At 42.7% G+C, this 14515-nt stretch overlaps 1 long non-coding RNA gene across 1 annotated transcript in view; it reads right to left on the reverse strand.

The window, feature by feature from the left end:
* Positions 1-14515, reverse strand: part of LOC105373627 (uncharacterized) — a 65027-nt gene that overhangs the window by 30602 nt on the left and 19910 nt on the right. Inside the window, exons 2-6 of the long non-coding RNA XR_001739714.2 lie at positions 6142-6366; positions 5210-5535; positions 3498-4251; positions 2252-2323; positions 1192-1279 (exon numbers count right to left, since the gene is read on the reverse strand). This is a non-coding gene — a long non-coding RNA (uncharacterized LOC105373627). The remainder of the gene's footprint in view (positions 1-1191; positions 1280-2251; positions 2324-3497; positions 4252-5209; positions 5536-6141; positions 6367-14515) is intronic.

Genomic DNA, 14515 nt, shown 5'->3' on the forward strand with positions numbered 1-14515 from the left:
TGATTTTTATTATGGGGCTTCAACCCAAATTCTGCCCTTTAGATTGCCTTTTTTATTTCTATGCATCAAAGACGACCTGTAAGTGATGCCTACCCTGGACTCCATCTGGGCGTCTGGGTCCAACACCCTTGACTGCTTGCTGAGGACAGCACTCAGGCATCTATATTTGACTCATGGTCTTGAGTCCTTGACTTGGAACTCATTTGCGACCCCAGTTCCTCTAGGAACTCCTCCTCCCTCCAAAAGACTTGAGTTCCATCCTGAAGCCCAGCCCAGAAGTGAAGATTTTGCTATAGACTGACACACTCCCCCAGTACTAAGATGCCCAACATCCCAGATGCTGGACCCCATCACTTTCCACTGTCTTCTTAGGACACCCTGACACTTCATGTATGGACAAGACACTCAAAACAGCTTAAGCAGGAGATGGAGATTCATGGGATCACGTAATCAAACCATAGGAAACGGAAACTCGTCTCCAAAATGGACACAGGAACTGGAACAGAGCCAGGCCTGCTTTCCAGCCCTGCCTCTCACCGTGGCTGTTTATAAATGTCAGCTTCACCTTCACTCTCTAAAGACAGTTTCCTCCAGTGGCAGGAACCATGGCCACTGATGGCTCTAGAATCTCCAGTGGGTATGAATTTCAACAGCTGAATAAAAAGCCCTTAGGTTTCTACCAGAGCACATGATTTTATGCCAAACCACTTAGCAATAGAGAGACAAGAAAGACAGAGGCTTATAGCGAGAAAGAAAAGAAACTTTCTATCTGAGGAATGTGAACCTCCTTTAAATTATCAGGCCCAGTGAGGCATGAGAATGAGGCTACAGTCACATCCCACTTCCCCTCCTGAGCTAAATAATCATCTCTTGAATTTGCTTGCTATGTGGACTCTAGGCCTTTTCTCACAAGTAGCTCAAAATTAACCTAATGACACCACATGATAGATATCATTAGGTCATAATCTATATGTCAACAATGTATAGGCAATAACTAATGAATGACATTTCTGTAAACCAAAGAGAATTCCTGACAAGCAACTTTGTATCATCCCCCTACGTATCCCCTTGCTTTTGCCTTTAAAAACCTGCTGGTAACAAAGGCCAAACAGAGCTCCTATCCAAGATCACTTGGGCCTGAATCTTCTGAGCAGCTGTCCTCATCTTGGCCCAAATAAACTCTTTACTTACATTAATTTTGCCTCAGTTTCTTCCTTTAGGTTGACAGTAGCTTCTTTAATAACATTTTTTTAAATTTCTTTTCCCACACTGTTTTGACCTGTAGAAGACAAGGGAGAACAGAAACAGGAAGGTGAATAACAAGCAGGTGAAGCCCACAGGACATCCGGGTCCTGGGCAAACAAGCCCACGGGGCCTCGATGCACTCTTTACGGGGTTCACAGGTGGTGGGGCAAGACCCATGAAGCTGTCTCCACCTTGAGAAGGCTTGGGAGATGCTTTTACACCCTTGTTTGGGTGCATAAATCCAAAAGCCCTTATCCATGACCTTTGGAATCAGATGAGTTTAAGCACTTTTCAGATTTTTAAAACAAAATACAGGGTAGTATACAAGATATACTCCTCATGGAGTATAGAACAGCCCCCATAGTCAAATTCATTAAACACTTTATGGTTAAAATATATACATATTCACACTTTTTAGGATAATTAATGTTTATATAGACACTCCTGTTAGTTTAGGTCAGGTCAGGTTTTGCTACTAAATGCATAATATAAAAAAAAAAGTTGGTTTTCAGAGTTTGGAGATTTAAGAATGATGGTTAAGAGATTGTGGGTCTACACAAGAGATGTTGAAAGTGATAACTAAAAGCCTGGACTATTGGTTCCCAGGGTTAGAGACCAACTCTGACCAGAGCTGGAGTCTGTGAGTGATTGAGCCTTGTGCCTGCTCCTGTGTCCCGTGCCCCTACCGCCAGCCACGCCTCCCCATTCGGAGCACTGCAGAGCAACCTTTCCCCATACTTCCCACCTCACTGCTACCATCTGTCTAAGAACCTACTTGCAAAAAGGAACTGAAACCAGCCCAACTGTCCCACAGAACTGATGTTTATGGTCTTTTTTTATTAAACTTAGATTTTATTTTATTAAACTTTTGATTGCTTCCTTACCCCTTTCTAATTATTTCCTCTTCACAATTCCCACCACTCTACCCACCACAGGCAGCTACATTCTTTCCCTGCTATATAAACCACCAATTTTAGTTGGTTGGAGGGACAAATATAAGACTTACCTCCCAGCTCCTCAGCTGTAGCACCCAAAAAAGCCTTCTTCCCTGGCAATACTTGTCTCAGTGATTGGCTTTCTGTACAGTAAGCAATGAAACCTAGATCAGACCCCTGGCATGTTAGTAATAGAACCTACATTTACAATTGTGAATCTGAAATAATCAAAAGGATCAGAATCCAGTTTTAAAGAGTTTATTCACACAAAAATCTGAAAATATCCATCCTAAAAACATGGACTCCAGAGTAACGGGGTCAGTGCACCAGAGGTAAAAGTTCTTGCTTATACAGGCAGAAAACAAAGAAATTTAGTAGGATTATAACATTTTCTATACAAGACTGGTTTATGAGTTACAACTTAGTTACAGTTTGTTGTCCTTTCCATACAGCTTATTTTCATTTCCTTTCCAATTTAAAAGAGTGTACTTAACATTCCATCTTAGGCAATGAAATAATGAAGTCTTTATGTGAGAAAAGTAAGAGAGAAGTTAATCCATAATGACAATCAACATAGAAAATAAGTCTTCCCTGGGGCTCTTTAGTCATTTACAACATTTTACTAACCCGTGTAGGTAAGGAAAAGAGCTAATCTATAATCAGAGAAACAAAGGTTATAGCTCCCTGTTTACCTGAGTCAGGTCCCATAATCACATTCTCTTGAGGCTCAGAATATTTTAAGATTCCAACAGCTTAAATTTTGAATTACTTATTTTGAAATAGTGGATCACTCACCTCCTGGTAAGAAGCCATCAGTCTCACTACCACCTGGCCCTACATTTCTGTTTCCCTAGATCATTACAGGATGTCCACAACCACAGTTCTTTTCTCTCCACCTGGACTCTCGCCCTCACAAAGTTCTGAACATCTCATAATAGAACCCAAATTCCTACCCCTTCAAACTATTTCACTGTGACTTCTGAAACTCATGGCCTATCATCAGCAAAATACCATCTGTCCTTAACCTTTCTCTGAATGTTCATTTCCAGTATGAAAGAGGAGAGCCTTATCTTCTTCTCTGAGTGTTTCCTTCTATTTCTTGCTCTGCTGAAGCCAGGCTCTTCCCTGAGGACACTTCTACCCACCCAACACCCCCACACAGCCCCCTCAAGATTTGTTTTATCTCACTCCTCTGCTACCACTGAGTTTGTGAGTGGGAAGTTGTCCCACTTCTCATTGCTATTTTCAGAACTCCATTCCTCCCCTATAAACTGTTATGATAATATTTATAATAAGAAATACATATTTGGTCTTCACCTCCTTTTCTTGAAACACAGCTCCTAAGACTCTTGGAGTCTCCAAAGTGATGGTCTTTTTGTATGCTAATGAGATGACTGGTGGCTGGAGGCTCCTGGGTAGCCTCAGGGTGGGGCTAGCTGTCCAGGAAACCAACCACATCATGAGAAGTTTGAAACGTTCAACCCCAACCCTGGAGGTGGCTCCAGGGAGGAGACAGGCTGAAGGTCAAATTGCTCACCAACGTTCAATGGTTTAGTCAATCATGCATGTGTAATGAAGCCTCCATAAAAAAAACACAAAAAAACAAACAAAAAAAAAAGAAACAGGATTTAGAGAGCTCGTAGGTTGCTGAAAGTGTGAAGGTTCTGAGAAAGGGCACAGAAGCTCTGCCCCTCCCCCCTTACCTTGCCCTATATACCTCTTCATCTTGCCATTAATCTATATCCTTTGTAATATCCTTTATACTAGAAGGGTAAACATAAGTAAAGAGTTTCCCTGAGTTCTGTGATCTGCCATAGCAAATCAACCCCTAAGGGGGTCTTGGGAATGCCCAATTTATAGCCTGTTGGTCAGCAGCACAGGTCTCAACTCGGGACTTACAACTGGCATCTGGAGTAGAGGGCAGTCTTGTGGGATGGAGCCCTCAATCTGTGGGATCTGATACTGTCTCCAGGTAGGTAGTGTCAGAATTGAATTAAATTGGAGGATGCCCAGCTGATGTCTGCTGAAGAACTGGTTTGGGGTTGGGAGAAACTCCTGTACATTTTGGTGCCTAGAGGTGAAATATTCTGTGTTGAGTATTGAGTGAGTGTGTAAAAATAGGAAAAAACAGTTTGGTTCTTCCTATCTTTTCCATAAACCACCCCCACACACAGCTTCTGTGAAGCTTATGCACTGTTCAATCTCTCTGTTGCTCCTTTTTGTAGGAGACACTTAAAGGTCTCCAAGCGACTCTGCTCCGTTTCCCTCTCTCTCCCTCTAAGACCACTCTTGTACTAACACTTGATGATTTCAGTATTCATGCAGATGACACCTCGAGGGTCTTTATCTCTCAGTTTCTTGATCTTCTCATCTCCAATTATTTTGTCCACCCTACCTCTGCTCTCCCCGACCTTATTCTATGGCATTGCCACTTATTGCCCTCCTTCACAATCTGTGTTTCACATATCCTATTTTCCAAACATCATCTTTTATCTCCCCAGCTTACTCCCCCTGTACTGGAATACCAATGATTCTTAGCCCACACTAGGATGTTTATCACTGCCATCATTGCGCTGTCCACTTGTACCCTAAGCTTTCTTATTAGGCTCTGTGGTCCATTGTTATCATCAGTCCTTTGAAGACACCATCAACTCCTTTGCTCCTCTCTTCCTCTGTCACAGTCACCTGGCAGAAAACCCAGCCCTGGTTAAATCTGACTTTCTGCCTGTGCCACACCCACACAACTGAAAGTGTCCAGAGAAAAAGCATGCAGCTAGGACGACTTGTCTCCATGTAAACTCATGACAAAAACCTCCAGCGTGCCTGTAGTGCTGTTTGTCCCTCCAACCACATTCCCTCAGTCAATTCACACCCCTGCTCCATGATGAGTAATTCACACCCTCTCTCTTCTCAAATTGCCCACCCTCTTCCCATTCCTACTCTCCACCAAAGACCTTCCCTTTTATGTCACAGAGAAAATAGGAACAAGCCAAAAAGAACTTTCATGTGCTTCCGTGTGTTTTTCTCACCTTCGCTTGCTCATACTCACGTTCTCCTTCATTCCATGTGGTCTCTCATTTCAGCTTTCCTCTGGGTGTTTAGTCCAAACTTTTCCTTCTGAAGATCATCAGTCTCATCTCACTTTTTCTCACTACCAGGAGTTCCACTAGTCACCCCACAGGGGTAGCTTCAGCCCCCGAGACCACCTGACTTGTTTCTCAGGGCTCCGACGCCAAATTTCCAGTATGAAAAATCTGACTGGCCCAGTTCAGGTCACAGGTTCACTCCAGTCAATCAGCTGTGGCCATCGAGGAGGGTTGCATTGCACCAGAAAGCCTTAGAAAGAGGCCGTGCTCTGAAAGGGGGATGTAGGGCAGTAGGAAATATAGGACAACAACTAGCCAAAAACAAATAAAACAAAAAACTCCTCCAAAAGTCTGTCTTCCACTGGGGAAAACTACATAAATACAACATAGCACATAAAAATTTAGAGAACAAAGCTTTTCAGAAACTACTGGGAACAAAGAGATATCATTACAAAAGGCATCTGAGGAAAGCATAGCTATAATGTATTTTGGTCTGTGTTCCCTAGACCGTGTCTCAGAGCCCAGAACTGGCCCTATTGATCTTTATAATCCAGTATATTACATGGTAGCTAGCATTCAATATTTGCTGGATTGAACAGAATCCCCTGGAAGATAATGAAAAAATAAATGACAGCATGATGGGCACTGCAATTCTGCTTATCTATAAAAAGAAAGAATTCAGGTTTTCCTGGAGAATTGAACTTTTCTCTAGCACTGAATATTATAAGCGATTGTGAAGAGAAATCTTTATTTGGGTGACATTTGGTCACATAATGGACAATGCCCTCATCTCAGGCTTTGCAAAAGATTCAGAAATGCCTTTCAACTGTCTGTTTCTTATATTATCTCTCTAAAAGCCAAGGACATAACACTACCTCATAACTCCAGGGTGGCATTTCCATGGAGAGATGAGCTAATCCAGCAGAGCAGGCTGTTTTCTGACCAAATCCAGAAATAGAGCTGAGGAATCCCGGAGACGTGGCTATGAGCCATGGCGGGGGGGGGTGGCTGGGAGGCAGAAAGGTATGTCCAAATCACCTGGAAGAATTTTTCAAGATACGAATCTTCCCTCCAGAGTGACTCTAAAATTACCTGGGTCTCTGAAATAAAGGTAAAGAGGAGACCAGAAGATTACTGGCATATATGTTTTGAAAAATACCACTATCTCCCCCATCCCTCCCCCTTACTCTCTTGAATACCAATGACCTTGAGGGATGCCTGTGTTTGATAAGTCTTTCTCAAATATCAGTATGTATTTTATGTATGCATATATGTATGCATTTATATGCCATCTCATTCCAGAAAGGATGGCAGATGGCTCACAAGGATACATAAAATACAAAAAAGAAGCATAAAAAATAGAAACAAAATGCCAAAGAGGAAAAAAAAAGTTGGAAATTCAAATGCTAGTAGCCCTAAGTGCACTTTCACGAAGTTCAGCTGGTGTGAATTCAAGAAAGGCTGTGCTCACTGAGAAGAGACACCAAGCCAGGCGTTCAGGGAGCATGAGCTCCAGGCACTGGAACATCCGCTGGAGAAGCTGACCATTTGTCACCAGGACGAAGACTTCTGACTTAAGTTCTCACCGGATGGAAGCAACCTTACCTGAAAGGGAGGTGGATGACAAGGGTCCCATTTTGTAAAATTTGAGTTATGGAAGGATCCCCAAGGGAGGGCCTGGACAGGACAGCACTTGGAACTTAAGGAGTTCGCAGGGAAGGTAGAGTATTACTAAGTCTTATTATTACCTCCCCTCCTTCCTAGAGAGAGGTCCCAGGTTGAGTCACCTGGAATTCAGGTGCCTTTTATACTCAGCTTCCATCTGACCAGGAACTGAATTACAGATTAGATGTCTAGATCTTCCAAATCCTGTTTCTATTTAATTAAGGCTGTCTTCCCATACATACAACAATTTATACTTGGAGCATGGCCAGGCATTTATATAAGACCCCGTGATAGGACTGAAAGCACTGGCACTGTATGGAGGGTGGTGGGGTGTCAGGTGGAGGTGGGCAGAAGATCACCTGATTCCACTCCAGGATAGTAACGAGTACAGCTCGTTTTACTGACAACTTTTAAGGTGCTGGGTGCCTTAAATGCATTATCTCATTTAAGCATTTCATCCACCACCTTAGGAGCATTCTATCATCATCTTCATTGTGCAGATGAGGAGATTGAGGCTCAGAGAGATTACATGTCTCACCCAGAACAGTTCACTTCCTAAGCTGTTGAGGCAGGAAGCAAGCCCAGCAGTCAGGCTGGTGAAGCAAGGCCACACGGGGCAGGCAAGAGTGGATGTGGACTCTAGTTCATGGAGCCCATGTCTTTAACAACCAGCCTTTGGTTATTCTCTGAAGCCCAGTGAACTCAGTTCTTTTGAACCAGTGAAAAAGTAGACTCCCTGGAAAGAAATATTTTTCCAATTTCCCTTTCAAACACTGAGTCCTCAGTGAAGTCAAAGTAAAATTTCTGCTAATAATTTAGCAGTTGTCCTGATTTGTCTTGGCTAACGGTGAAGAGTAGGGAAGGTAGAGATGGGATCGATGAGATGTCATTCTTGGGGTAACAGAGTCATACCATCTAGTCCTGAATTCTTCAAAACCGTTTTTTAACCCATGCCTTTTGAGGAATTTTTTGTCCATCACCCTAAGAATTATTGATGTGCAAGAATCTGTTTTCTTTGACATATTCCTCACAGTCAGGAAGATTTTATTCTTCATTATTTTATCCAGTTAGAAATTACAAAAAGCCTTTTTCGGCTTGTTTTCCAAATATTCATTTTGTTACAATTTAAATCGAGTTTTAAATCTACCCATGCCCACTCTGAGAGACCCCACCCTCCCAACACCTTTGAGGGTCCCTGAGTGCTACTAGGAACTTCCTTCTGAACATATTTTTTTCTGAAATGCTGACTAGAGTTCAAGAGCAAATTCAAGAGGTCAGAAAACTGGTTTCTGCCTCAGCCCTGGGTTTTACAAATTCTCATATACCTCACTGGATCAGCAAAATCACCTGATCTGCACAAATTTGGACACATCAATTCCTTTCAATGTCTTAAAAATGATATTCCCAGATATTTTCCTTATGTTTCTTTTCTTTCTGTCTTTTTTTTTTTTTTTTTTTTTTTTTGAGACAGAGTCTCGCTCTGTCACCAGACTGGAGTGCAGTGGCATGGTCTTAGCTCACTGAAACCTCCGCCTCCCAGGTTCAAGTGATTGTCTTGCCTCAGCCTCCTGAGTAGCTCGGACTACAGGAGCGTGCCGCCATGCCCAGCTAATTTTTGTATTTTTAGTAGAGATGGGATTTCACCATGTTGGCCAGGATGGGCTGGATCTCTTGACCTCATGATCTGCCCACCTCAGCCTCCCAAAGTGCTGGGATTATAGGCATGAGCCACTGCACCCAGCCTCTTTTTTCTTTTTCTTTTCCATTTTTTTTTTTTTTTTTTTTTTTTTTGAGACAAGGTATCATTCTGTTGCTCAGGCTGTAGTGCACTGGTGCAATCATGGCTCATTGCAGCTTCAACCTCCTGGGCTCAAGCAAGCCTCCCACTTCAATCCCATGAGGGGCTGGGACTACAGGCACTCCCACCACACCTGGCTAATTTTTCAATTTTTTGTAGAGAAGGGGTCTTCCTTTGTTGCCCAGGCTGGTCTCAAACTCCTAGACTCACGCGATCTGCCTGCCTTGGCCTCCCAAAGTGCTGAGATTACAAGCGGGAGCCACTGCATCCGGCCTCATGTTTCTTTTACTTTGATGAACAAAATTATAGGGTATGTTCCCAGTGCTTATATAGGATTTTATCTGACACTTAGGCCATAAGCACATAACAAGTAGTTAACCTTTGAGGTTTCTAAGGCAAATGTGTGGTGTGTGCATACATGTGTAATCCTGAACTCACACAGGCTACTGAGGAGTTTTTGTTTAGATCCTCCATTCATCATTAAATGGGACAGAATGGTGTTTCTCACAGCTTTCAATTCTGGGGATTTTAAACCACAGGTTTGCAGTTCCTTGCAGGTTTAATTAGTTACTCTAAGTAGTGGTGCTGTTCTCTAAATGTACAGTTGGATCCTGAAACACTCATCTTTTGATTAACCTTGCAGCCCTTAGGCTGGAGCAGCTCCTGCACTGGGACTTTTAAGGAATGCCTTTTCCTAATGATGGACAGAAGGATATCCAAGGACAGGCACAGGTACAGGCTTTGGAGCCAGGAGACCTGCCTTTGTTTTATGTAACATTTTATTCTGAAATAATTTAAGACTCACAAGAAGTTGCAAAAACTGTACAGAGTTCCCATGTACCCTTCACTCAGCTTCCCCCAATGGCAAAGCATAAACACAGGATATCAACAGACCTGCTTTCACTAGCAAACACTTACTGAGCACATAGACAATGTGCAGGAACTGTTCTATGGGCTTTAAAGTGATAACTCCTTTAATCCTCACAGCAAGCCTTTGGGATAGACATAGTAACCTCCATTTTACAGCTGAGGAAACCAAGGCACAAAGAGATTAGATAAATTGCCCTTGGCCAAAATTCAACCCAGACTACCTGGCCCTGAAACCTATGCTTTGAAGCACTACACTACCTGGGTTTTTTCTATGCGACCTTGGCTAAGTTACTTGTACCATCTTCTGTTTACTTACAAAAATTAAGTTGTTTTGAATATTTTTTTTCTAAATTAGGAATAAAGTACCACCTACAGGGTCCCATATTCAGTGGATTGTTCTTCCCTTGTACTCATGCCTCCATTCAGTGGATGACTATCGAAAAGCACTAGAAAACGAACTAATTTTCTAGTTTTCTAATTTCCACGAATGGTGCAAATCAGTCACTAGTCAAGCAGCATTTGCACTGAGGTTTACACTGGAATAAAGCAGTCATGGCTATGCTTGGATATTTCAGCCACAGCGCTGTCTGATTCTAAAATTTCAGATCTTTCAGATAGTTATCTGAAGAAATGGCAAATGGCTATAATCTGCTGACTGCAAAAATTCAGGATATATAGAATGAAATTAACAAACTAAAAGCAAGAAAGCTCTCAAACGTATTCAAACAAAAAGGATGAAAATCGATTTTACTCCCATAGTTAGGTCTAATGATAAGAATAGATGCCAACTATGTATTACATGTCTGCAATGTGCCAAGCTCTTTATAGTCTCTCTAATCCTCACAATTTACATAAAGCACTACCCTATTCGAAGAGGAGGAAGCTGAAGAGCTATCTACTCTTCCTACCAAGAGGAAGGAATTATCGGGAAAGAATCCAAGTGACAATGGCATCCTTTCCCAACTCTGTCATCTGCTCACCTCAAGAAAACCAAGAATGAGCTAACAATGCAAGGTAAAGCGAATTAGGGAGAAAGTTAGCTCCCTTGCTAATTAGGAGGTATTCCTGACCAGTCTCCTAGGTCCCTTCCAGAATGTATATCATGATGTAAATGGTGACCAGTAAGTTCATTAAATCTTCTTGATTCTTTAGTCTAGCTTTCTCAGCCACTCCCTCTCCACTCTTGCCTGAGTTCAGGAGGAAGGAGTACAAACTGGATCAGCACAGATTTACTAATGAGGGTGCATTGAGCAGAGAGTATGTATTCCATGCTTTATTTCAAGGAGACAGGAAGAGCTCTAACACTTGTTTGGTTGGTTAACTGAAATATGTATCCAAAGGTGGTCTACAGTAAATGAAATCAAAATGCCACAACTTCTTAGTGTACTATAAAGGCAAGTATTCAAAGACCTAAGGAGATTAAAATGCTAGAATGTATTGATCATGCAAGACCTGCTCATCCATTCTGGAAGGGTCCAGAGGACACATCCTTTGCCAAGGCTGTGATAAATTCATGAGGTGACCCCTCCCTCAGCATCCTTGAAGAGCTCAGTGCTCGTTCATCTCTGTAGATCAGATATCAGGGCATCGACTATGATTGAATTAAGATTCCTGAATGCAATGAAGGTGATAGGACTCTAGGGTGGCAGGGACCAAGTGACATCAGAACCAAAGCAATAATAAAAATAGTCTGATTCACAGAAATTGTTGGCATTGACTAAGTTGATCATACTGTCCCTAGAAATAAAGTAGATAGGTAGTCTATTAAGTCTTCTGTATCTGTGTGAATGGAAAAGCTCTAAGTCTAGTGATCAGAAGTTCTGGATTAAGTCACCAAATGACAGAGTCATAGCCTCTCAATCAGTTCCCAGACTTGAACTGATTCACCAACATAGAGTTTGTGAATCCTTGAAGAAGGACCCTGCCATACCGTGAAAAATGTATAAGTGTGTATCTCCCTCCCAATCTTTCCCAAAAGATCCATGGCCATTTGCTAGGGTGGTTGTACCTTGGGGAAGGAGTAACTATTAGACTTTCTCAGGAATTATGGGATGCTGGCCCTGAACTAGCACTAATTCCCGAATGCGTAAAATGTTACTGCAATCCACCAATCAGAGTAGGCATTTATGAAGGTCAAATGATTAATGCAGTTTGGGTTTGGTTCCATCTCACAGTAGGCCCAGTGGGGCCTGAAATCATCCTATGGTCATTTCCCAAGTTCTGGGGTGCATTCGTTAGCATGGACATTCTGAGCAGAATCCCCACATTGGTTCCCTAACCTGCAGAGGAGCATGAGCTATCATGGTAGGAAAGACCAAGTGGAAATCACTAGTACTGTTCTCTACCTGGAAAAATAGTAAACCAAAGGCAAAACCACATTCCCGTAAAGATTAGTGTCACCAGCGAGAACTTGAAAGATTGAGGGATGGTGATTACCACCCCATCCCCATATAACTGGCCTATAATAGTTGGCCTGTGTAGAAGACAGAGGGAGCTTGTAGAATGACAGTGGATTATCCTGAAGTTAAGTAGGTGCTGACTTCAAAGGCAGCTGCTCTTCCAGATGCAGCTGTTGTTGGAACAAAGCAATACATCCACTGTATGCATGCGGCTTGTATGTCACCTTTTATGTAGCTATTGATCCAACAAATGCCTATTAATAAGACCATCAGAAGCTCTTTTCTTTCAGTTGGCAATGCCAGCAATATACCTTCACTGTTCTACCTCAAGGCTAGGGAAACTCTCCAGCTCCATGCCATAATCTAGCCCATAGGGACACCACCACATTTCCATGCCATAGGACACCACACTGGTCCATTACATTGATGAGGTGATGCTGATCAGACCTAATAAGCAACCATTTTAGGCACATTGAAACAATATTTGCATCAGGGTAAGAGAAATAAACTCCACAAAAACCTTAAGAAAATTTCATGATCTATCTCTTTCAAGGTAAAGGACAAGTTGCTACATTGGGCCCATCTTACCTAGGAAAGAGGCACAATGCATAGTGGGTTTCTTTGGATTTTGTAGGCAACATCTGCCCATTTGCCAAGTGACCCCAAAATCTGCCAGTTTGAGATGATCCCAGAAAAGTGAAGGCTTTGAAGCAGGTTCAGGCTGCAATGCAAGTTGTTCTACCACTTTGACCATATAACCCACAGATATAACCACGCATGAAGAGTCAGTAGCTGATAGTGATGACATATGGAGACTTTGGTAGGCAATATGTGTGAATTATAATGCAGACTCTTCAGATTTGGGAACAAAGCCATGCTATCCTCTGCAGATAACCACAATCCCTTTGAGAAATAACAACAGCTTTTGTCTTGCTACTGGGCCTTAGTAGAGGCAAAATGACCATAGGACCCCAAGTTATTATCTGACCTGAGCTACCCAGCATAAACTGGGGTTGCCTGACCCATCAAGCCATAAATGTCAGCATTCACAGCAGCACTCCATCATCAAATGAAAGTGGTATACATGAGATCAGGCTTGAGCAGGTCTTGAGGACACAGATTGAATGAGGATGTAGCCCAGATCCCCAAGGTCTCTATTTCTGCTACTCTGACTTCTCTCTTTTCACCTATACCTCTAGCCTCCTGAGGAGTTCCCTAAAACCAGTTTATTGAGCAGGAGAAAGAGAAAGCTTTGTGCATGGTTTACAGATGGTTCTGCACATGAAAGTGGATGGCTGCAGCACTGCAGCTCCACATGGGGATGACCGGGACAGTCATAAAGGGGAATACTCCTAATAAGTAGAACTTGGAGTAGGTGCTGATTGTTCATGTTTCTTAGGGGATATGGCCAGAAGCATGGGTCTAAACTGCTTCATGGGCTGCTCATGGTTTGGCTGGATTGTCAGGGACTTAGAAAGAACAAGACTGAAAAATGAATGGAAAGGAGATCTAGGAAGAGGTATGTGGATGCACCACTCCGCATGGAAATGGGGTGTGAAGATGTTCGTACCTCACGTACAAGCTTACTAAAGGGTGATTTCATCAGGGGAGAAATTTAACAATCAAGTGGATAGGATGACCCATTCTGTGGATACCACTCGGCCTGTTTCCCCAGCCACTCCTGTCATTGGCCAATGGACTCATGAATAAAGTAGCCCTATGGCTCTGGAACACGGACTGCTATTCACCAAGGCCAGTCTGGTTTCAGCCACGCTGACTGTTGAATCTGCCAACAGAAAGACCAACACTGAGCACTTGATATGGCCCCATTCCTCAGGAGGACTGTGGCAGGTTGATCACCTTGGATTGCTTCCATTATGGAAGACAGAATAATTTGTTCTTAGCCACTTATTCTGTTTATGAATTTGCATTTTCTGCCTGCAAGGCTTCTCCCAAGACTACTATCTATAGACTTACACAGTGCCTTACCTACCTTCCTGTTATCCCAAACAGCCTTGTATATGATATGACCAAGGAACTCACTTCACAGAAAATGAAGTACAACAATCAGCCCATATATCTGGAACTCATGGAATTCACTGATCATATGATGCTCCCCATAAACCTGAAACAGCTAGCTTGGCAGGATGATGAAATGGCCTTGTAAAGATTCTATTACAGCATTAGGTAGGTGGCAGAACATTAAAGGAGTGGGCCAATATCTTCTAGGAAGCAGCAAATGCAGCCAATCAGTATCTGATATTTGGTGCTATTTCTCCTGTAGCCAGGAAGCACAGGTTTGCAAATCAAGTGCTGAGAATGGGAGGGGCTCCCCTCACTACTCACCTAGTGATCCATTGGCAACATTGTGCTTCCTGTCCCCTCAATTTTGGGTTCTACTGGGCTAGTGGTCTTCGTTCTGAAGGGAGAATTTCTAATAGCACAACAATGATTTCATTGAACTGGAATTGGAAACTTCCATCTGGCCATTTTGGGATCCCTTGTGCCTGTGAATCA

Source organism: Homo sapiens, chromosome 2, assembly GCF_000001405.40.
Source record: "Homo sapiens chromosome 2, GRCh38.p14 Primary Assembly".
Taxonomy (NCBI): Eukaryota; Metazoa; Chordata; class Mammalia; order Primates; family Hominidae; genus Homo; species Homo sapiens.